Here is a 23,605-nt window from a genome sequence, read left to right as displayed (position 1 = left end):
ACTTGTCTTTAACCTTAGCTTCATATTGAGCTTCATTCCCCTACTCCAGCTCCCTTGCCCAAGGTTCCAAAGGCACTTTCAATTCCATCCAATATAATTCACAAATGTGTTTTCAGCACAAATTATTAGGCCATACAGTAGGGTTTACAATGATGCATCAGTTAGGGCTGTTGCCAAGATATTTACAGCTAGTGTCTCTAGAATTGGACAAATAGATAATTATAATACAAGGGAAAATATAAATCACAGGAGTGTGTAGAAGTTGAAAAACCGTACCATTCAGAGGAGGCAGTATATTATAGTTCCAAGCATAGGACCTGGAGTCAGAAACCAGGGTTCAAATCCTGGCTCTACTACTTATTAGATAGAGACAATAGCGTTAGGAATAACATCCACTTAGAAGGAAGGGTTATTTTGAGATATGTATGTAATATGTATAAAACAGTAGATGGCCTATGTATTTATTATATAGTAAATGGGCAACAATGTGTAGTAACCATATCAAGTATTTGGTTCTTTCTGAAAGTTTGCTGTTAGGAAAGGAAGAAAACTTGGGTGGGAGAGGTGGAACAGGAAGCCCAGGTGAACGTATTTACAGACTGAGACGGTGCTTGAGGAAAGGGAGAGTTTGAGGATTCCGGGTGGGAGCAGGGCGCGGGGCGGTGGGAGCGGGGAGGAAAAACTGGCGGGAGTGAAATTTAAAGCATACATTGGGGGAGGATTTTAGCTTTCTGTAGCAGGAGAGAACTGGAAAGTGAAACATGCACATGGCAGAGCAAATGGTTAAATTAAGAAAAAAATATCACACAGCAGCGACCAAATTAATTTAAAGAACCTTCAGAAAAGAAAATGGATTGGGAGAGGCCGGGCGCGGTGGCTCACGCCTGTAATCCCAGCACTTTGGGAGGCCGAGGCGGGAGGATCACGAGGTCAGGAGATAGGGACCATCCTGGCTAACATGGTGAAACCCCGTCTCTACTAAAAATACAAAAAATTAGCCGGGCGTGGTGGCGGGCGCCTGTAGTCCCAGCTTCTCGGGAAGCTGAGGCAGGAAAATCGCTTGAACCCGGGAGACGAAGGTTGCAGTGAGCCGAGATCGCGCCACTGCACTCCAGCCTGGGCGACAAAGCGAGACTCCTTCCAAAAAAAAAAAAAATGGATTGGGAGAATGAAACTAACACTTAGTGAAGAATTGAGGGAAATTACCTAGGTTAAAGAAAATATATTTAAAGCACTTTTTTTTTTGAGCTATCTAATAACCTTCAACGAGGGCTGAAAGACGCGGCCTAGGGAGTCAGCATGGGTCGCGCCTCCCATTTATACGTCCCGGTCTGGCGCGCACGCGGAACCTGAGTGCTGCAGCTGCGGCGCAGACCGGGCGAGTTTCCCAGAAGGACGCCGGTTCCTTGCTCTTGCTGGCCCCGGCGAGGTAGCTTCTGGAAGGCGCTGCTCTTCCGGTTCTCTGTCCCGGTTCCTGGGGTTGCACAGACAGACCCTGTAAACATGTCAGGGTTCAGTCCGGAACTCATCGACTACTTGGAAGGGAAAATCTCCTTTGAGGAGTTCGAACGGCGGAGAGAAGAGAGAAAAACCCGCGAGAAGAAAGTGAGGCGATGCTAGGCCACGGTGCCCTTCACTCTTGTTGCCTTCATACCCTTAGGTGTGGGGGACCCAGACGACCGCTTTCACTGTGATGGGGCGGGCTGGGAACTTTCAGCAGCTTCTTCCTTATCTTACAGAAACTCCGGTTTTCACCCCTCATCCCTGTGCTAAGCTCCTTAAAACGTTTTCCCCCACCGAAAAGCTTTCGTCTTGGTGGTAACCTCTTCTTTTTCCCCCAATACTACGTTTTTATTTCAGGGTAGCTTAACGCTGGTAAGTTAAATGGGAGGTGGGGAGAAGAGTTTGGAGTCAGTTTCAGGTTCTAGTCCTAGCTTTGCCACTAAGTCGTTTTGTGACGGTGGGTGGACAGCTCACTTCTCTTCTTTAGGCCCCAATGTCTCCTTTTCTGAACTGGAACGATTGAGCTCCTGTTTTTGAGGAGTCTCCCACTGGTGTGAAGTAATAGTCCATAAAAAAGTATTGTCCGATAAGAAGATAATCTTCACCCATACCTTTTTTTTCCCCATACTTAGAAATATCTGAACTTACTGTATCTTCTTGCTTACTTCAAGTGCAAGAGAAAATAAAAGTAATGCAACCTTTTTAAATTTTTAAGTTCGAAGGCAGATTCTTTTTTTTTTTTTTTTTTTGAGACGGAGTTTCGCTCTTGTTGCCCAGGCTGGAGTGCAGTGGCACGATCTCGGCTCACTGCAACCTCGGCCTTCTGGTTTCAAGCGATTCTCCTGCCTCAGCCTCCCGAGTAGCTGGGACTACAGGCGCCTGCCACCATGCCCGGCTAATTTTTGTATGTTTAGTAGAGACGGGGTTTCACCATGTTGGCCAGGATGGTCTCAAACTCCTGACCTCGTGATCCGCCTGCCTCGGCTTCCCAAAGTACTGGGATTACTTTGCCCGGCCGGCAGATTCTTTAATAATTCATGCGAGTAGTAGGGACTTATCTTTTTATTTATTTTATTTTATTTTATTTTCAGACAGAGTCTGGCTCTGTCACCCATGCTGGAGTGCAGTGACGCGATCTCAGCTCACTGTAACTTCCGCCTCCCGGACTCAAGCAGTCCTCCTACCTCAGCCTCCAAGTAGCTGAGACCACAGGTGTGAGCCATCACACTCTGCTAATTTTTGTATTTTTTGTAGAGACAGGGTTTCTTCATGTTGCCCAGGCCGGTCTCAAACTCCTGAGCTCAAGGGATCCGCCTGTCTCGGCCTCCCAAAGTGGTTGGATTACAGATGTGAGCCACCAAGTCATTTTTTATTTAAAATATTAGGATACAATATGTTCATTAATGAAATTATTAAGATATTTTATTTATTTTTTTTTACAAATGACAGATTGAAGGGTAAGATATAAGTACTTTGAAATGCTTTGACAGTATTCAAATTTAGATTCCATCTACTGTGTATGTGTTCACAGCTCAAGTTTTGTAGGAATAGAAAATTAGGCAAATGCCCTATTCTATAAACTGCCAACCCATGGTCACAAAATGCCCGAGTGGCAAAGCTAGGACTAGAACCAGATACTCTGTGGCTGGGGAGAGCTAAGTCTGCATTATTTTTTGGAATCATTAATTAATTTGCAATCACAGAGTCTTCAGGAAAAAGGCAAGTTATCAGCTGAAGAAAATCCCGATGACTCTGAAGTTCCATCATCATCAGGAATTAACTCTACCAAATCCCAAGACAAAGATGTCAATGAAGGTATGTTAAAATTATGTGCTTCCTGCAATGAATGTTTAGAGTATGTAAGCAAAGTAATTTAGTGAAACATTGTATTTTCATGGCAGTGATACTCTGTTGTTGATTACCTGGTTTTTCAGGAACAGAATGCTTGGTTATATAGTAGGTGCCCAATAAATATTTGTTGAGTTATTGAATACCCTGATGGTTATTTTTTGTGAGCTCTGGTGTTGGAAAAGTGTTTTAAATTGACATCAGTATTTGTTTGGGAGCTTTTTAAGATTATTTTTTAAATTGGCCCTCTCAGTTGGTAACTAATCACTTCCAGACTATACTTCCTCAAATTGTAATGAATTACACTTCGATATAAAGTGGCTTCCAAACCACTGCTTTAGTTACAGGGAGAAAAGATAGAAATGTTAGCGTGGAAGGCAAGTTGGTTGCCCTCATGGAACTTCACACACAGCACAGGTGTCTTGGTAGGCTACCTCATTCTAGCATCCAGTCCTCAGCTTTGCATGTCCAGATATTAAATTTGGTTAGTGCACCCAGACTATTTAAACTCATCGTAGCCTAATTAATTAGTAAGCAAATTTATTAATGTTCAGTGATTGATACCCTTTTCCAGGGATCAGAATGCTGATAATATCTCAGGGTATCCATTTACTACCATATCAAGTTAACTGGGATGCTAAACTGTCAGTTAGAATGTAGCTTCATGTATAGGGTCTGATAACAACTGTCTAGTTCTAGGGGTTAGAAGTACAGTCTGGTTCTTTTCCCTCAAAACAAGTAAGTGTTTACACAGAGAACAGACAGTCATAGCATGGGCAGAAAACAAACAAGATTTGTTCCTACCTCCCTGGACCAAGTGAGGAAAAAAGGGCAAAGAGGAGGGAAAACTGGGGGTTACAGTTTCTTATTCTGCCAGGAAAGTGGGGTGGAAAAGGCAGCTGATAAAAAGGAATGAGATCATGTCCTTTGCAGGGACATGGATGGAGTTGGAAGCCGTTATCCTCAGCAAACCAACACAGGAACAGAAGACCAAACACCGCATGTTCTCACTTATAAGTGGGAGCTGAATGATGAGAACACAGGGACAAAAGGGGGTGAGGAAACAACAGACACTGGGGCCTTTTGGATTAGGGGTGTTGCGGGAGGGAGAGCATCAGGAAGAACAGCTGATAGATGCTGGGCTTAATATCTAGGTGATGGGATGATCTGTGCAGCAAACCACCATGGTACATGTTGACCTATGTAACAAACCTGGACATCCTGCACATGTACTCCTGAACTTAAAAGATGAAGAAAAAAAGGCAGCTGACTGAAGTTGTTCTCACAATTTGTGTGTCCTTCCTTATCTGCTGAAGGGAGGAGCTGCTCTTTTTTCCTCAGGTGTTTAAGTTGCTACTATAGCAGCAGGCACAAGTGGGTGCCTGTCAGTCCTGTTACCTAAAGCTGCTCCCAAAAGCTAGCCATCAGGCCCTAAAAAAGGAGTGAGCTGAGTCCAATTCAGGCTCATGATGAGCAGTCAGGCCCACAAGGACTGGCTGGCTTCAGCTCAGATAATGTCATACATCCTTTTAAGATGTGAAGCTCCTAATTTCCTAGTAAGGAATTGTCCCAGAACTCTACCAAGACTCTTGGTGAGTATGAGCATGTATTCAGAGCAGAAGGGGTCAGTTTTGAACAAGCTTTGGCAGTCAGCTAATTGAAATATATGGTCACTAGTTGTCCTTTTCCTCTGGACAGTACTAAATACACCACTAAATTCTTGCTGTTCACACCGTTCTTACACACTGAAGATAGGATCATCTTTTAATTTCATTTTCAATTCATTTGCTGATATATTAAACTATAATTTTTATATATTGACTTTGTGTTCAGCAACCTTGCTAAATTATTCTTATAGTTTGTATGTAGATTTATTTTGGGTCTTCTATGTATATAATCATGTCATCTGTGACTTAATAATTTTATTTTTTCCTTGCCATCTTTATGCCTTTTGTTTCTTATTACATTGGCTAGGACCTCCAGTAAAATGTTGAACAGAAGTGGTGGCAGTAGGCAACTTTGTCTCATTCTTAGTAACATTCAGTAATTCACCATCAACTGTGTTTGTGGAAAATTTTTGTAGATACTCTTCATGAAATAAAAGATACTCCCTTTCATTTTTAGTTGACTAAGAATTGTTATTAGGAATGGGTATTGAATTTTATCAAATGCTTCGTTCTATCAGGATGGATCATACGATTTTTCTTCTTTTGTTCCTTTGTTCTTTTGTTCCTCTGATAAATTTTACACATTTCTTTTCATCTTTATTTTGAATGTTCAGAATTCTTGAATATGATCCTTATGACTTCAAAATAATATTTATTGCTCAGAACATGTAGCTTTTAAAATCTATTCTTCATTAAACACTGATTATCTCATTTGAAGTATTTCACATAAGTGAGTATGCGTAAGAGTTTTTGAACACAGGCCAGGTGCAGTTGTTCAAGCTTCTAATCCCAGCACTTTGGGAGGCTGAGGTGGGTGGGTCACTTGAGGCCAGGAGTTTAAGACCAGCCTGGCCAACATGGTGAAACCCCATCTTTACTAAAAATAGAAAAATTAGCTGGGTGTGTTGGCACAAGCCTGTAGTCCCAGCTACTAGGGAGGCTGAGATGGACTGCTTGAAGACAGAAGGCAGAGGCTGCAGTGACCTGAGATCGCACCACTGCAATCCAGCCTGGGCGACAGAGCAAGACTCTGTCTAAAAAAAACAAAACAAAACAAAACAAAAAAAATGCTGGGCATGATAGCTTACGCATGTAATCCCAGTACTTTGGGAGGCCAAGGTGGGTGGATCACCTGAGGTCAGGAGTTCGAGACCAACCTGGCCAACATGGCAAAACCCCATCTCTACTAAAAATACAAAAATTAGCCAGGTGTGGTGGCTCATGCCTGTAATCCCAGCTATTCGGGAGGCTGAGGCATGAGAATCACCTGGGAGGTGGAGGCTGCAGTGAGCTGAGATCGTGCCACTGCACTCCAGCCTGGGCGACAGAGTGAGACTCCCTCTCAAAAAAAAAAGAGTTTTTGGCTGGGCTCAGTGGCTCACGCCTGTAATCCCAGCACTTTGGGAGGCCGAGGTGGGTGGATCACCTGAGGTCGGGAGTTTGAGAGCAGCCTGACCAACATGGAGAAATCCCGTCTCTACTAAAAATACAAAATTAGCTGGGCGTGGTGGCACATGCCTGTAATCCCAGCTACCCCATGAGGCTGAGGCAGGAGAATTGCTTGAATCTGGGAGGTGGAGGTTGCGGTGAGCTGAGATTGCGCCATTGCACTCCAGCCTGGGAAACGAGGAAAACTTCATCTCAAAAAATACATATATATTTTGAACACATATATAGAGAGATATAAACATAAATATATCTCTCTATATATACTTAAAATTTTAACTATTTTGTTGGAACTTTTCTAGAAATATGTTACATGTCTATCTTTGTGTTTTCCGTTGCTTATAACAGAATACTTGAAACTCGGTAATTTATAAGGAAAAATAATTTATTTCTTATAGTTAGGGAGGCTGAGAAGTCCCAGGCAGAGGAACCGCATCTGTTGAGGACCTTTGTGGAGACTCTCCAGAGTCCCAAGACGATGTAGGGTATCACATGGTGAGGGAGCTGAGCATGCTAGCTCAGGTCTGTCTTCCTCTTCTTGTAAAGCCACCAGTCCCACTCCCATGATAACCCATTAAATCATGAATGGATTAATCTATTCATGAGAGCACAGCCCCATGACCCAGTCCCTCTTAAAGGTCCCCTCTTAAAGACCTCTCAATATTCGCACATTGGGGATTAAATTTCCATATGAGACTTGGAGGGGACAGATATTCAAACCATAGCAATGTCTCTGCTTTAACAGAAAATTGGCTTCTGCACTTCACATTTTCTTGATAATTCAAAGTCATAATTATTGACATTCAAAAATCATTATATTATACTATGGTGGTATCCTGAGATACAAATGAACTATGTCATGTTATTTTTTTCCTGAAATAATAAAGCTATTTTAATACTAATAATAGCATTTAATAGGCGTTTACTATATGCTAGGCATTCTAAGTGTATATATACACACACACACTCACACTCATTTTGTCCTCAGAGTAGCCCTATAAATTATTATTAACCCTTTTTGCAAAAAGAAACTGATGTATAGAGCAGCTTTAGTAATTTCCCCTAGGTTGCACAGCTAGTGATAGATGGAGATGAAGTTTGGAACCAGGCAGCTTGGCTCTAGAGCCCTCACTTTTAACCACTATCGTATACCACCAGGGCTCCGTACTGCTAGGCTTGTTTAGTTCTTAGGTCTATGTCTTATAATTCTTCTATTTTTTTTCTTCTGTATTATTGTGTGTGCTTCTGATTTTTCAGTTAATTTTGCCTGTAAATCTGGATGAGGCCTAAAGGATGAGTCAGCTGTTCCTATATAATAAAATACATGGCTTTGTGATAACTTTCTTCTTTGGTTTGGTTTTTGAGGGTGTTCATTTGCTATTTTTTACTTTCAAATTTGGTGTTACTGGGGTAAAAATTTATACTTAGAAAATACTTGTTTTTCACTGAGAATTCTGCAGCTTCCCCACCCCTCCCCCATCAATGTCTCTTTTCTCAGGAGAAACATCAGATGGAGTGAGGAAGTCAGTTCACAAGGTCTTTGCTTCCATGCTTGGAGAGAATGAAGATGATGAGGAGGAAGAGGAAGAAGAGGAGGAGGAGGAGGAGGAGGAAGAAACACCTGAGCAACCCACTGCGGGCGATGTATTTGTATTGGAGATGGTTCTCAATCGTGAAACCAAGAAAATGATGAAAGTAAATTTTTACTTATTTTGGTATTTATAAACAATGAAGAAAGTGACATAGTAATTGAAGTCTGTAAGTTATACCTGGGAAACAATTCAAACTGTACGAAAGGAAATACTATGACACAACTATTGTTATTTGTTTATTATGTTTCCTATTAGATAATGTTTATGTAAAACCTTAATTATAGCCGGGCATGGTGGTGTGCCTGTAGCCCAGCTGCTCCGGAGGCTGAGGTAGGATCAGCTGAGCCTGGGGAAGTCAAGGCTGCAGCACTTCAGCCTAGGTGTCAGAACAAGACCCTGTCTCAAAAAATTAAATACAGTACAACACAATAAATAAATAAAGTCAAAGCAAAGTGGCTCATTTAAACCAATTGGGCCATTTATTTTTTAAAAAATGCTAGAAAGGTAGAATCTAACACACACACAGACACACAGACAAAACCTTAATTATTGCTTATGTCAAAATGGACTGCGCTTTTGCTATTAAAAGGTCCATACTGGTGAGGCACAGTGGCTCATGTCTGTAATGGCAGCAGTTCGGGAGGCTGAGGCAGGAGGATTGCTTGTGCTCAGGAGTTGGAGACCAGCCTGAGCAACATAGTGAGGCTCTGTCTCTACAAAAAACTTTTTAAAAAACTAGCGAGGTGTGGTAGTGCACTCCTGTTGTCCTAGCTACTCTGGAGGCTGAGGTGGGAGGATGCTTGAGCACGGGAAGTCGAGGCTGCAGTGAGCTGAGATCACTCCACTGCACTGCAGCCTGGGCAACAGAGTGAGACCCTGTCTTAAAAAATATGTCTGTGTCCATACTATAACCCTTTGATACTTTTTTAAACAAGTTCATTTTGAGTGGATAAATTTGAAAGAAGGGGGATCTTCAGTAAATTACATCATAATTCTGGAATATAAATGCATTTTGCAGCATCCAGCTCTACATTTGTTATTATTCTAATTAGTAATTTAGTAACTTCTGACCACTTTTTTTTTTTCCTGCAATTGAGTTTTAGACTTTTTTTTTTTTTTTAAATGAGACAGTCTTGATCTGTCACCCAGGCTAGAGTGCAGTGGCGTGATCTTGGCTCACTGTAACCTCCGCCTCCCAGGTTCAAGTGATTCTCATGCCTCAGCCTACCAAGTAGCTGAGATTGTGGGTGTGCACCATCATGCCTGGCTAATTTTTTTGTATTTTCAGTATAGACGGGTTTCACTCTGTTGGCCAGGCTGGTCTCCAACTCCTGGCCTCAGGTGATCCGCCTGCTTCAGCCTCCCAAAGTGCTGGGATTACAAGAATGAGTCACCATGTATGGCCAATTTTAGACTCGATAAACTTTAATGTTAAAGAGTCAATTAGAATTGCAACTATTTAGTTCTGGGTTGCAAAAACTGAAAATTTTTAAAGGAAAATTTCAGTTTCATTATATGCTATATTTATTAATATGGCTGGAATTGAAATCTAAGACTTCACTATATTTTAATCTAAATGTCATTTTTCTTCCATACAGGAGAAAAGGCCTCGGAGTAAACTTCCCAGAGCTCTGAGAGGTCTCATGGGTGAAGCCAACATTCGTTTTGCTCGAGGAGAACGTGAAGAGGCGATATTGATGTGCATGGAAATCATAAGACAAGGTGTTTTCTGTGGGGACTTTGTTAATAATAGCAGTTTAATAGTCTGACTTAAAACAAATGGGGGAGCACTTCACAGTACTATTTGGAAAATATGTTCAGAAGCTTAAGGGTGATTGTGGTAATGGTAATTGCCACTTTTCACAAGAAAATGAAAATCTCAGAGTATGAGTCAATGAGATGTCATTAATATTTGTTGAATTTCACTGTTACTTTTTTTTTCTAATGTTTCAGTTGAGAGATTTAGACTTTTGAATTGTCAGTATGGCAAATATATTATGTTAAAGCCACTTGAAGAGCTTTCTTTTTTCCTTTTCTTTTCTAGATCATGCAGTACTAGATTATGTTACTCTATTTTTTTGGTAAAAGACAGTTTAAACTTGTCATCTTATCTCTCAGTTAAATGGTGTATCTTGGACATATTAAATGATATCTTCAGTGTGATTTTTTTTTAACTAATTACTTATATTTATTGTTTTGTTTCCTTGATGTTTTGCCAAATTATGCTCTGCAGAGTGGTTTGGATAGCTGTAATACAGTGAACTTTTATCTTTTCAATAGTTTGGCATTTCTTTTTGGTTAGACTAGGGTCCTTTTAGAAGTCTTATTATAATTTCCTGGATTATTCATTAGGGTAATTTGAGGCTACTGCTTAAGATTAAACAGACTTTTTCCTTTAGTATATTTCATTTGGTTCCTACTTTCCAATATTATTTGTTCCTTTATTTTAGTTTATAATTGTTCTTGACAAAAATCTTTGACTTTAATACTTCATAATCTTTGAATTTTGTTTCAGAAACAGTATTTCAGAAATGTAGATTAGCCAGTCACTTTGATATCCGTTTAGCTGCTGCTTAGGTATCATCTGTTCATTCATACCATACTCCTTGGTGTGGGAGCTAAATCATGAAGATTCAACCCCACTGATGTGGCTGGTGTTTATTAGGATGAACTTGCTGATATTGAGCCATGTTTATCCTGAGCAAAGGGGGATTTTCATGAGGAAGAAGTGGTAGAGATTAGGATTTTTCATGAAATTATACCTTGCTTAGAGAAAACTGCTTTAAAAATGCTAAAAATGTATGAAAATAAAGCAGATATAATCTAGCATTTATTTCAACTTGCCTTAAGCAGTTTGTATAATTCTGCTAGAGTGATTTGAAGAGTTTAGGTATTTAAAAAAAAGACATACAGTTTGAACCATGGGATGGACATCAACTCAAGCCTCTTCTCTCAGCCAATGGAATTTATTTTTTTAATTTGTTATAGCTCCTCTGGCTTATGAGCCATTCTCTACTCTAGCCATGATATATGAGGACCAAGGTGACATGGAAAAATCATTGCAGTTTGAGTTGATTGCTGCGCATTTAAATCCCAGTGACACAGAAGAATGGGTTAGACTGGCAGAAATGTCTCTGGAACAAGACAATATTAAGCAGGCTATTTTTTGCTATACAAAAGGTAATTAAAATTTTTTTTTTTTTTCACTTTTACAAGCTGTTACATAATAGGTTTTTTGATCATTGTATTTGCTATTCTGGGGTGTGATATTGGCTGAGATAAATTTGTTTCTATTGTGTGTTGCTCTAGAGGTAAGTATTTGGGGTTCCTCTGTTCTCATGTTTATCAGGGACTTTTTGAATGTTGTGAGATAATACAACACGAAAGTTGGTAGATGAACAGTACCTTCAGTTTCTCACTAAGATCAGTGTTGGTTCTAAGCTGTTCCTTGAGGATTAACATCAGACTAGATTGACCACATTAAGAAGATTACTGTTGAGATTCAGATTCTATCTGCTCTTACATCAAACCTAGTCAAGAGTTCCTGTGAATATAGATTTATTCAGAATAACTCCCTTGGTTCCATTTGATGGATTAGTTTGCTTATTAAATTTTCTGAGATGATGGATCACACCCAGGTACCATGCACCCCTTTTTGTGGTAAATAATTTGTATTTCTTTCTTTTTAGCTCTTAAATATGAACCTACTAATGTCCGTTATCTGTGGGAGCGATCAAGCCTTTATGAACAGATGGGTGATCATAAAATGGCCATGGATGGTTATAGGCGTATTTTAAACCTTTTGTCTCCATCTGATGGCGAACGTTTTATGCAGCTGGCTAGAGATATGGCAAAGTAAGTTTGGAGTGAAACAGATCTACTTGCTCCTGTTAATCTTGTTTTGCAAATCAAAGCATATATTTGGAATAGAATGTACTTTTCATTGAAGTTCAAGAAGTGTTTTGCCTTATGTGTTTTATTGTTTTGTTTATTGAGACAGGGTCTTGCTCTGTCACCCAGGCTGGAGTATAATGGCATGTTTATAGTTCACTGCAGCCGTGAACTTCTGAGCTCAAGTGATCCTCTCACCCAGCCTCCCAAATAGCTGGGATTGTAGGTGCACGCCACCACACCCGGCTAATTTTTAATTTTTTTTTGTAGAGACAGGGTCTTGCTGTGTTGTTCAGGCTGGTCTCGAACTCCTGACCTCAAGCATTTCTTTTGCTTTGGCCTCCCAAAATGCTAGGATTACACATATGAGCCACCGTGCCCAGCCCTGTATTTTAGATTGTACCGAATTTTCAGTACTTTTCTGTTTCCAAGTCAACTGTGTCATTGCTTAGAAAATTGTGTATATAAGGTTACATTTCAAGTGCTCAGAGGCTTAAAAATGGGACATGTCCTAAAAGGAAGAGTAGGTTCTCAGGTTTCCAAACTTAGTCAAAAGTGTGTATATTTGCAATAATTAAAAAATTATTTTTTATTGCAGATGTGCCAGTGAAATGTTAATGATTTGGGATCTTCTATTATTTTATCTTGAGCCAGTATATAATATTTTAAGACTATAAAAATTCTCTTTTACAGTTGGCACATTATTGACTGTGGTATATATTTTATTCTAAAATATGCCCTACTGCATTTACTTCTCTGGTATGCTGCGCAGCAAAACAAAGTAGGAAACATTTTTGCTGAGTAATGCCTTGTGATATGCTTTCCATTCTAGAGATACCATATGATATTTTGTTCTAGGAGTAACCATCTCCATCAGGGTACATTAGGGGTGACCCTATTAATTCCATGGCCTTTATCACAATGATGCTTAGCTGTGAAACTGTCCCTTACCCTCCCAGGGGTGGGTTACATAGGACTACTAGAAAACATTTCTAGGAAATTTGTTGAGGCAAGGCAACCCTAAGTTGATCTCTGATGGAATACAATGAGCACTGAGGGTCTTCCCAGGTTATTTGCTGTTAGTTAAATCTATAGCTGTCACAGTGGTTAGTCCAGTAGCCTTTGACTTTGTGAAATGTTAGGTGGCCTATGATAGTAAATTGGTTTTCCACTTCTATTAGATATAATACTTTTTTGGGAAAGAGTGATGATTGTCAGTTCTGCCACTGCCATTGAGGTCTTTCCTATGTGGAATTCTATCACTGTAACTTCTGTTTAGGCTTTCCCTTTGGTCCCTGCTTTCCCTCCAGAAATATTATTGAATATATCTTTGGCACTAGGTACTATACAGGAGACCAGGGTATCCACTATTGAACAAGTTTTAAAAATCCCCTACTCTTGTAAAGCTTACATTTCAGTGGGAGACATAGGCAATAAATAAACAGCTAAATATATAGTACATCAGATGTTGATAAGTGATATGAAGAAAAACAAAGCAGGAAAAAGGGATAGGAATTTGAGGTATGTGGTGGGGGTGTGTTATTTTAAGATAGACTGGTTAGAGAAGGACATAATTCTCTGTATTATGGTCATACTGACTAAAGGTGAACTGAAGTAGGTACGAGAACAGATATTCAGGGAAGAGTATCACAGGTAAAGGAAACAGGAAGTGCAAAGTATGGTTAGGGAAGCTGAAGAATTAAGGGGAGCAGTGCAGAGAGGTATCAGGAATAGATCATTTAGCCCTTTTGGGCTATTGTAAGGGCTTTGGCTTTTATTCTGAATGAGTATGGAAGTCACTGGAAGATTTTGAGTAGAAAAGTGACATGGTCTGACTTAAATTTTAAGTGCATCAATTCTGGCTGCTCTTTTGAGAATAGATTGAACAGTGGAAGGGCAGAAGCATGGAGACCAGTTAGGAAATTACTGTAGTGATACATAGAAGGGAAAATGGTAACGTGGACCAGGATGGAAGCAGCAGGAACTGGTACGAAGTAATCAGATTATGTATGTATTTTGAAGGCTGAGCTCTCAAGATTTTCTGATGTATTGAATATGAGGGGTGGGTTGGGGAGGTGGACAGGGTATAGAGGACTGAACCCTAAGGCACTTCAATGTTTAGAAATCAGAAAGAAGAAGAAACAGCTGGGAGACTAAAAGAAAATGGCCAGTGAAGTAGCAGGAAACTGAGAACAGCATGATGTTCTAGAATTTAATTGAAGAAAGAACTTCAAGTAGGAGGGATGATCATCTGTGTGAGATATTGCAGATAGATCACGTAAAATGAGCACTGAGAATTGACAGATTTAGTAACAAGGAGATTGGAAATATTGGCAGAATGGGGAGAGGAAAAGTTGATTGGATTAGGTTAAAAAGAGAATGGAAAGAGGCATTGGAGACGGTATGGGGGATGGACAACTTTGGGGGAATTTGCAAGGGGAGCAGAGGAATGGGTTGTAGGGGTGGGAGAATTTTTTAAGTTGGGAAAAATTACCATTTATCTTTATTTAGATGGGAGTAATCAAAAATTGAGGGACACGTTGAAGATTTGTGAGGGAAGAGACAATTGCCTGAGCAATATCCTTAAGTAGATCATAGGGAATGGGATCAAACTAGGGGTTATTTTCATGTATACAATTATTTATCCTTGATAAAGGGGAAGGCAGATGATATGGCCAAAGATACTGGTAAGTAGGTAGATGTGCTGGAAATATGTGGGATGTTCTGATTTAATTCTCTTTTCTTGGTAAAAATGTCAAGCAAGGCCATCAACTGAGAGTGGGGACTGGGAGACTGCTGGAGGTTTGAAAAGAGAGAGATGTCAATAGTTGTCTAGGACATTACTGCCCCACAGACTGGCAGTATTTGTATCACCTGGAAGCTTGTCAGAAATGCAGGATCTCAGGCCTGCCCCAGCTCTACTGGATCCGAATATGCGTTTTTACAAGATAGCCAGTTGGTCCATAGGCTTATTTAGGTTTGAGAAGTACTGAAATAGGTAACTGTAGTAATACTGCTCATCAGTACCATGGACCTGCTTGAGGCTATTGGTCATCAGTTTAGAGTGAGACCAGTCAACATGGTCAGCTGGGCAGGTGGTGGTGAAGAGTAGATATAGTTGGATTTTAACCAGGCTTGGAGTTTTATTGAGTGATTTTGATCAAGAGAGTGCAGGGCAAGAGAACTGAGGATGTATGCAAAGGAATAGCTATAACGTTGGGCCATGGAGAAGGAAGAAAGTGAGCCCAGGCGGGGTGTAGGCAATAGTGAAAAAGTGGTAGGACCTATGCTTTGTAGATCTGTTGAGGTAGAAGAGTTGGTATTGGATTACATAGGGAATGAGCTGGAATGATAGGAGGTAGCATTTGGAGAGTGAGATGCTTGAAATTATGACACTGTTTTACTGACTTTGCACATTTTTTCTGGATCAGTTCTGATTACGATTTTAAGGAAATACACATTCCTCTCAAATTCTAAGAAAATGAAAATCACTGTTCATTGTTAGATAGCCTAAGCAAGGAAATGAGTTTTATAATTGGAATTAAGTAAATATTCATCCATTTTGCCACTTTTTTTTAGGAGTTACTATGAAGCCAATGATGTTACTTCTGCTATTAACATAATTGATGAAGCTTTCTCAAAACACCAGGGCCTAGTCTCCATGGAAGATGTTAACATAGCAGCTGAACTATATATTTCTAACAAACAGTATGACAAAGCTTTGGAGGTAGGAATGCTTATGTGTTTCTCTGTTAAGTTTTGCATGTGTTTCTGTGTTCTGGAAATTCTTAAAAATTGGCAGTTCTTCGTTTTAGTTAAATTATGTATATATTTAAAGTCTATATGGAAACAAGTGATTTCTAGATTCTGTAGCAATTCAGTATGAAATATGAAGTGTAGTTACATAATAAAAAATATTGCCATTGTCACAGGTGCTAAGTATGTACTTCAGGGTAGTAGGACTCAACAGTCAGATGAATTGCTGTGATTTAGTTCTTAAGCTGGTTGGGGGAAAGTAGGTTGGTTTGATATAAAGAAGTTATATACATTGAGTTTGCATTAGTTAATAGGATATTAAAATGTTAATGTGTCACAGGGTTTCTCATTTTTAAAAGACTCTTTCTTTTTATAGCCCAACTTTATATTAGGGATTATTTGAAATAACTGTACAAATCTTTGCATTATGAAATGGTTTTTCACACATATTTTATTTCCTTTCTTCTTTCCCATTCTTTTAGATAATTACAGATTTTTCTGGAATTGTGCTGGAAAAAAAAACTTCAGAAGAAGGCACCTCAGAAGAGAATAAAGGTTGTAGTTTCCTCTGCTTAGGAAAGTGTATATAATCCTCTCTTGGTCATAAGGTGGCGTTTTATGGTGAAAATTTATTTCATACTGTGGTGAGTTGATAGTTAATGTTCTCATAATAAGTTTTCCCAAGAAGCATTTTTTTCTCAGAGATTTCATATCTTGTGAGTATTGACTTACAAGTAATCTTTAAAAAAATTTGTTTTGAGTCCCTGTATGTCCATTTGAACATGGCATTTTTCATTGACAGTCTTTTTCATTCCTTTTTTTAGGAAAAAAAACGAATTACTGAAGTTTATCAAAAACTTTTAGCACTGAAGCAATTTACTTTTCAAATAGGACCTAAAATGCTCTTACTTAAAACATTTGACTTTAAGCTTAAGCATTCACATAATAAGTAGAAACTAATATGATTACCCTACATTGTTTGAAAACTCAAATATATAATTAGTGATCTGGTTAGAAAGTTATACCTAAGTGTGGCTTGCAGTCTCTTTGTACCATACTCATTAACCTATTCTGTAAAAATATTAACATTCAAGACCCTACATCAAGTTGTAGCAAAATTGATCTTTATGAGCAGAGTATATAACCCGGCTCTTGTAAGAGAATTCCTGTATAGTACCTTCAACCCCTACACTGTGAGGATTTTGATGGAATTTGTGGAAGGACCAAGTGAGTTGGTACTGAGTCCTGCCTGGTTCATAACAGCTCCTTCCGTGGCCTGTCATGATGCCTAAAAATTCCATCATTATGTAATCCTTTGGGCTAAGGCATCATTATTCAAAAACAAAAACTGTTACTTAAAACATGATCCATCCTAATGGTGAGCAGTAATTCACTTACACAAGCCAATCTGTGCTAATTCATAGAGAGTAAGGCCCAAGGTGAGATGTGGGACAGATAAATGTTGAAGTGGAAAGTTTTTGGGGAAGGGAAACCCAGTTCAGTAAGTTTCTTGTAAGGGACTGCTAGGTGTGTGGAGACTACGCAGATGAGTATGATATTTCCTGCTCTCAAGGAAGTGGAGGCGGGAAGAGGCGTTCAAATGAGGTGCATACAGTTTTAAGAGTTGTGTGATAATTTCTGTAGCAAAGTTGATGTTATGGGAAAATAGAGGAGAGCAGTATACAAGGATCAGAAGATGTTTATAGAGGCCCAATTTAAGCAGACACCCATGGGGAGTGTGATCCAGATTGAGTCACAGGGTGTAGGAGCACTGCTTGGAAGAGCAGGACCAGATCACAGGCTGTGGTTGGGGCTGTTGAGTCATCAGGGTGGTGTGAATGAGTAGAATAAGGAGTAGAAATTGTGGATGAAAGCATGGATTAGGGCATGTGAAGGAGGCTTTGCCAGTTTTGATACTTTACTAGGACCTGGCTTAGGCACGAGCCAAGGCCCAATGAAGTTATTATTTTACTGTCATAATTTCTGCTTAAGATTTTTCTTCTTAATTGTGTTGAAAATCTGTCCTTTGTTTGGAAAACTTGGTAGAGAAATACCAAGTTCTGTTCAAGTTTTAATTGTAGATATAATCATTTTGTTGTTTAATATATTTTACTTCCCTCCCTCCCTCCCTCCCTCCTTCCCTCCTTCCCTTCCTTCCTGGCACATATTAACATAAATCAACAACAGGTTAGAGTTTAAGTAGTGGCTTCTTTATTTTTTAGCATGTAAAATAACGGTGCATCTGAAATCTGGCAGCTTAGTGTTGATGAAATAACTTTAAAGAAAAAGATATGTCCAGAAGACTAGGAGATTAAAACAGATACAAAGTGAGCAAAGGTAGTTTTTTAGTATGCATTTTAAAAAATGAGACCATTTATGGTAGATTATGTATTGTCTATTGACAGTCACATTTTTAAATTCTTCTGAATGTGAAAGACCTAATGGGAGTTCAGGAGAATAAAGTATCAGTGACACAAAGACAAGCTTTTTAAAAGATAGTGTATGTTAAATGTTAGTTAATAATATATAAGCTGTAGGGGCTATAAATATATATACTGCTTTCCTTAGCATTGTCAAGTTGCCATTAAAGTATCTAAATACTTACTCTCAATCTCCATACTTACCTGATTGAACTGGTAACAGTTTGTTTACCTGCACAGGTCCCAGACTAGTTTGAGTAGCACTGCCCTGTAGCATTATGAAGTGACCTCCTTACCTTTTTAAATATAGTTGGTCTGAATTCTACATTGTCTCATATTGAGATTGTGACACCTATTTTTTTTTTTTGTTTGCACCTGCCTGCTATACCTTTGTCCTTTTATTTTCAGCTTTCCTGAATCACTTGATTTTAGGTATACATCTTGCATTCAACATAAGGTTGAGTTTTACTTTGTGATTTGATATGAAAGCAGGGTTTTTGACCTATGCATCTATACACACTATATTTTTAAGGCCTATGCCGAGATATAAAGTATTTCATATACTATAATTTTCTTGCTGAAAGTTAAAACACGTAGATATATTTTATTGAACAGTGTCTTAGTCCGTTTGGACTCTCTAACAAAAGACCTTAGACTGGGTAATGTATAAACAACAGAAATTTATTGCTCACAGTTCTGGAGATTAGGAAGTCCAGGGCACCAGCAGATTTGGTGTCTGGTGAGGGCCCTTTTCTCATAGATGGTGCCTTCTTGCTGTGTCCTCACGTGGCAAAAGGGACAAACAAGCTTCTTCAGACCTCTTTTACAAGGGCACAAATCCCACCCACATAGGCACCTCCCAAGACCCACCTCTTAATAACCTTGGGCATTAGGTATCAACACAGGTATTTTGGTGGGACACCAACATTTCAGACTGTTAGCAAACAGCATTTCTAGAATGAAAATCAAAGTGATACAGTTGGAATGTAGAACCCATACATGATAAAGATAGAATCAGATTTTAGTAAAGAAAAAGGCTCATTAAAATGACTGCATTGTGTTTAGTCCTTACTCAGACAGGTGACTTTAGCTACTGTCTACAGAAGAAATGTGCTGTGGATACAGCCTTGAGTCAGACATGGTTCTTGTCCTCATGGAGCTCAGGGCTTAGTGTGAGTAAATTTACATGGTAGGTAAATTCTGCTCTCTCGTTGAGCAGACTAAATATATTAATTGGATTTCTGATACCAGTTATTGGCTTAGAGCTCAGTGATAAAAACAGTCTCTTAATTAAACTTGTCCGAATCCTCCTATAACTTGGTAATTTTAGGCAATATAGTCTCCCCTCAGTGTTCATGAGAGATTGGCTCCAGGACACCCCTCATACCAAAATCCTTGGATACTCAAATCCCTTATATAAAATAGTGTATTATTTGCATATAACTTATGTACCTTCTCCTGTATACTTTAAATCATCTCTAGATTACTTATAATATTAATGGTAAAACCACAATTACTTCTGCACCAACCTAATAATACAATGTAAATGCTATGTAAATAGCTGTTAAACTGTATTGCTTCTTAAGTTTGTATTATTTAATTTTATATATATATATATATATATATATATATATTTTTTTTTTTTTTTTCCCCTTAACATTTTTGATCTGCAGTTCATTGAATCTGCATATGTGGAACCTGAAGGTATGGAAGACTGTCATAATTTATATGACAAGTTCTGTAAAACAGATAGTTATTTAATTCTTGAATAATTTTTTATTTCACCACTTAGGATACATCTGTGATGTCCTCTATACTTCAGGTTTTTCTGAAACGAAAACATGTAAACTTATTTGGAATTTATTAGACTTTGCAAACTACTTTAAATGTGGATAAAAATTCCTGTAATTTCCCAGGGCTTTAAAAATTATTTTGTTGTAATGAGGTTTTAGAAAATAACACAGTATTATTTTATCCTTTTCTTAGCCTGTTTCTAGTGAACACTAAAAAGAGACTTTTCAATTCAAGAAAAAAAAGAGAGAGGGTTCATATATCCTCATTATTTTTGTCTTTTTAGTTCTCCGTAGTTTAGTAGAAGGTGTGAAAGTAAGTTTTGGATAAGTACATAAGGTATTAGAAATCGAATAGGAAGCATACTTGCTACCAAAGGACAGACTGAGAGAGATATAAGAACTTATTAATAGAGTTGGCCACACTAAGAATTGACTGTGGAATCATTTGCTTTGAATGAAATAAATGAGATCTTACATAGAAGATACACATCTCAAGCTTGCATATAGTAACTGCTTCTTGTCTGTGTATTCTCCAGCTCCTGAGAATGTTACCTGCACTATACCTGATGGCGTGCCAATAGATATCACAGTGAAGTTGATGGTCTGCCTTGTACATCTCAACATTCTTGAACCACTTAATGTATGTAACAAGATCTGCACTTGAGATACTTCAGATCAAATGCACCATCTCTTTTCTTTAGATGTCAAGAAATTATAACTTGACCCTAGAGTTTCACATTTCTTAATAACCAAGGAGGTAACAATAAGCATCAAATAATTTTGTATGAATATCTTATAAAAACTAAAATTGTTTTGCAATTGGGCTTACAGTAATTTATTTTTCTTTTAAAATAACAATCTAAAGATCATAATTTGAGATTGTCTTTAGACCATTTGAGATTGTCATTAGATAATTGGTAATAATTCTGACAGCTATTCTTTTTTGCGGACTTTGGACCAAGTATATTATTGAAAAAAAAAAAGTACTTAGCATCTACTTTGTAAACCTTAGGATAAGATATTGAGTAAAATATACAAATCCATACCCTCATGGGTTGGGATGCTTTTTTGTTTTAATGGGATTAGATAATAAAATAAATACATAACATATACGGGACATTGGCTGGTGATAAGTGTTCTGGAAAAAAAAGGAGGAAAATAAGGAATATTGGGGGCAGGGGAAAGTTGCAGTTTTCAATAGGGGATCAGGTGACATTTGGCTGGGCACCATGGTGCACACTTATAATCCCAGCACTTTGGGAGGCTGAGGCGGGCAGATCTCTTGAGCTCAGGAGTTCAAGACCAGCCTGGGCAACATGGTGAAACCCTACGCCTACAAAAAATACAAAAAATTTAGCTGGGTGTGGTGGCGCACACCTGTAGTGCCAGCTACTTGGGAGGTAAGGTGGGAGGATTGCTTGAGCCCAGGAGGTAGAGACTGCAGACCCTGTCTCAAAAACAAACAAACAAGGTGACATTTGAATAATGACCTGAAGGAGGTGAGGAAGTAAACCATGGGGATATCTAAGGAAACAACTTTCCAAAAACATTAGCAAACACAGAAGCCCTGAGGCACAAGACGTTGTGCTGGTTAGACGAAGAGCAAAACAGATGAGCTGTGTCTTAGTTCCTGCAATGCCTGTCTTTAAACAGATCCACAAAATGTGTTCACTGGGTATGAGTTATTTAAAATAAAGATGGCAGAAGTGAACAGAAAAATGACCATATAACGCTGTTTTTATTAAGCCTTGCTCCTTTTCAGCTTGCCTCTTATAACTGATATGTAGGTTAAAAAGAGAGCTATAGACTTTGGGAGGCCGAGGAGGGTAGATCACTTGAGGCCAGGAGTTTGAGACTAGCCTGGCCAACATGGTGAAACCTTGTCTCTACTAAACATACAAAAATTAGCTGGGCCTGGTGGTATGCACCTGTAATCCCAGCTACTCAGGAAGCTAAGGCACGAGAATCACTTGAACCCAGCAAGCAGAGGTTGCAGTGAGCCAAGATTGTGCCACTGCACTCCAGCGTGGGTGACAGGGAGAGACTTCATCTCAAAAAAAAAAAAAAAGCTATAGATAGATGTGCACGTTTGTAATGAATGTTTAACTTGGGGCTTTTATTTGTGGTCTAGCCTCTCTTGACAACACTAGTAGAACAGAATCCTGAAGATATGGGAGACCTATACCTAGATGTTGCTGAAGCTTTTCTGGATGTTGGTGAATATAATTCTGCACTTCCCCTCCTCAGTGCTCTTGTTTGCTCTGAAAGATACAACCTTGCAGTAGTTTGGCTTCGTCATGCAGGTAACACTTTTTTGTGGGAGGAAGAAGTTTTAATCATATAAGCAGCCAAGAACTTACTTTCCCAAGATGGTAATAATTATTATAGTGCAAGTGTTTCTGGTTTCAGGGGAGTTTTTTGAAAGTCAGTATTTTAAATTGTCTTGCTAGGCTACTAAGTGATTTCCCCATCACTAATGCTTTGGAGGAATGATTTACTTAATGATGCCAGAGTGAAGTTGAAGGACTCACATTTCCCTTAGATGCCTGTCTTGAACCTCTCTTAACCATAGGGTCTGGTTTCTAGCAAAGGATTGTCAGACTTGGGGCAAAATCTAATTTTGAAGAGTTTTTATAGATTTATATTTAATATGTTATATTGGGAAAAATTAATATATTTTTCAATGCTCTTTGAGCCACACATACTCAAAATTGGGTTTTATCAGCCGTTTATTACACTGTGCCTAAGTCCATAGTAATCTGCAGTGAATCATTTAGACTGGAAAAAATAGCTTAAGAAACATGACTAAATCTTTTGAAGAAATACATGAAAGCAAAAAGTATTCTAATAGGATTTCTTATAGAGTCAACATAAAAGATGCATTAAAAATCGAATAGTCTTGGTTTCAAATACTGTGTGATGGCAGAAAACTCTAGTGGCTCTTACATGAAAGCAAAAAGTATTCTAATAGGGTTTCTTATTGAGTCAACATAAAAGACGCATTAAAGATCGAATAGTCTTGGTTTCAAATACTATGTGATGGCAGAAAACTAATGGCTCTTAAGTATTATATGATGACAGAACTCTATAATTAGAGAAGCATTGATTGGCATTTTGGGGCAGTAGTGCACTCACATCACAGATATGAGCTAGGAAAGAGAGCACTTAATGATTAAGATAACACTTTTCTGTTTAGATGAATAAATATGAATACAAATGTAATACCATCGTAAAAAGCTGCATTATTTGTGAGATTTGAATTTTAAAGATATGAGCAGGATATCTTAGTTTGTATTGCCTTTCTACTTAGGGCTGTGATATTGAAACTGCTCCTGTGTTACTAATAGTGTATACTTTAAAAATCCTATTTAATCATGATTCTGATCAATGCTGTTTCCATTTTGAGCCCATGTGGCTTGAGATGAATGAAAGATAAAATCTCAGAGTCATCTAAAAATGATAAAGAAATTTGGGATCAGTATATAAGAAAGATAATTAGAGGAATTCAGTTATTTCAGTAACAAAATAACAAAATGTTTTTAAAGTGAAAAATGAGAAAATGTAAGAAATGTCACTGTGATGATCCATCCATATTAATGTTCTTCCTTTATTATCAAAATTTAACCTAAAGATGATGGTCAGGAGAGATTTGAAAAAGCAACTGGAGGTAAAAATACTTAGGAGATACA

General features: G+C 38.5%; 1 protein-coding gene across 3 annotated transcripts in view, besides 2 other annotated features; it reads left to right on the top strand.

The window, feature by feature from the left end:
- Nucleotides 1,294-1,353: an enhancer, noted in NCBI's record as "active region_16914". NCBI's record gives its function as "activates an Ori minimal core promoter by ATAC-STARR-seq in GM12878 lymphoblastoid cells {active_cell/tissue: GM12878}" and the evidence as "EXISTENCE:reporter gene assay evidence [ECO:0000049][PMID:35858748]".
- Nucleotides 1,414-1,463: an enhancer, noted in NCBI's record as "active region_16913". NCBI's record gives its function as "activates an Ori minimal core promoter by ATAC-STARR-seq in GM12878 lymphoblastoid cells {active_cell/tissue: GM12878}" and the evidence as "EXISTENCE:reporter gene assay evidence [ECO:0000049][PMID:35858748]".
- GTF3C3 (general transcription factor IIIC subunit 3) overlaps nt 1,432-23,605 on the top strand; it is a 36,649-nt gene continuing 14,475 nt past the window's right edge. Inside the window, exons 1-10 of one of the 3 annotated variants that reach the window (NM_012086.5) lie at nt 1,432-1,605; nt 3,207-3,318; nt 7,963-8,159; nt 9,655-9,778; nt 11,045-11,236; nt 11,746-11,911; nt 15,527-15,674; nt 16,186-16,258; nt 20,453-20,556; nt 22,048-22,219. In NM_012086.5, the coding sequence (NP_036218.1) occupies nt 1,504-1,605; nt 3,207-3,318; nt 7,963-8,159; nt 9,655-9,778; nt 11,045-11,236; nt 11,746-11,911; nt 15,527-15,674; nt 16,186-16,258; nt 20,453-20,556; nt 22,048-22,219 (1,390 nt within the window). In that variant the 5' untranslated portion in view covers nt 1,432-1,503. Of the gene's footprint in view, nt 1,606-3,206; nt 3,319-7,962; nt 8,160-9,654; nt 9,779-11,044; nt 11,237-11,745; nt 11,912-15,526; nt 15,675-16,185; nt 16,348-20,452; nt 21,034-22,047; nt 22,220-23,605 lie in introns of those variants that run through there. The other 2 variants (NM_001206774.2, XM_005246965.5) reach the window with 2 other exon arrangements.

The sequence above is a fragment of the Homo sapiens genome, chromosome 2 (assembly GCF_000001405.40).
Source record: "Homo sapiens chromosome 2, GRCh38.p14 Primary Assembly".
NCBI lineage: Eukaryota > Metazoa > Chordata > Mammalia > Primates > Hominidae > Homo > Homo sapiens.
The sequence above is the reverse complement of the archived record's forward strand: the minus strand, read 5'-3'. Positions and strand labels throughout refer to the sequence as shown.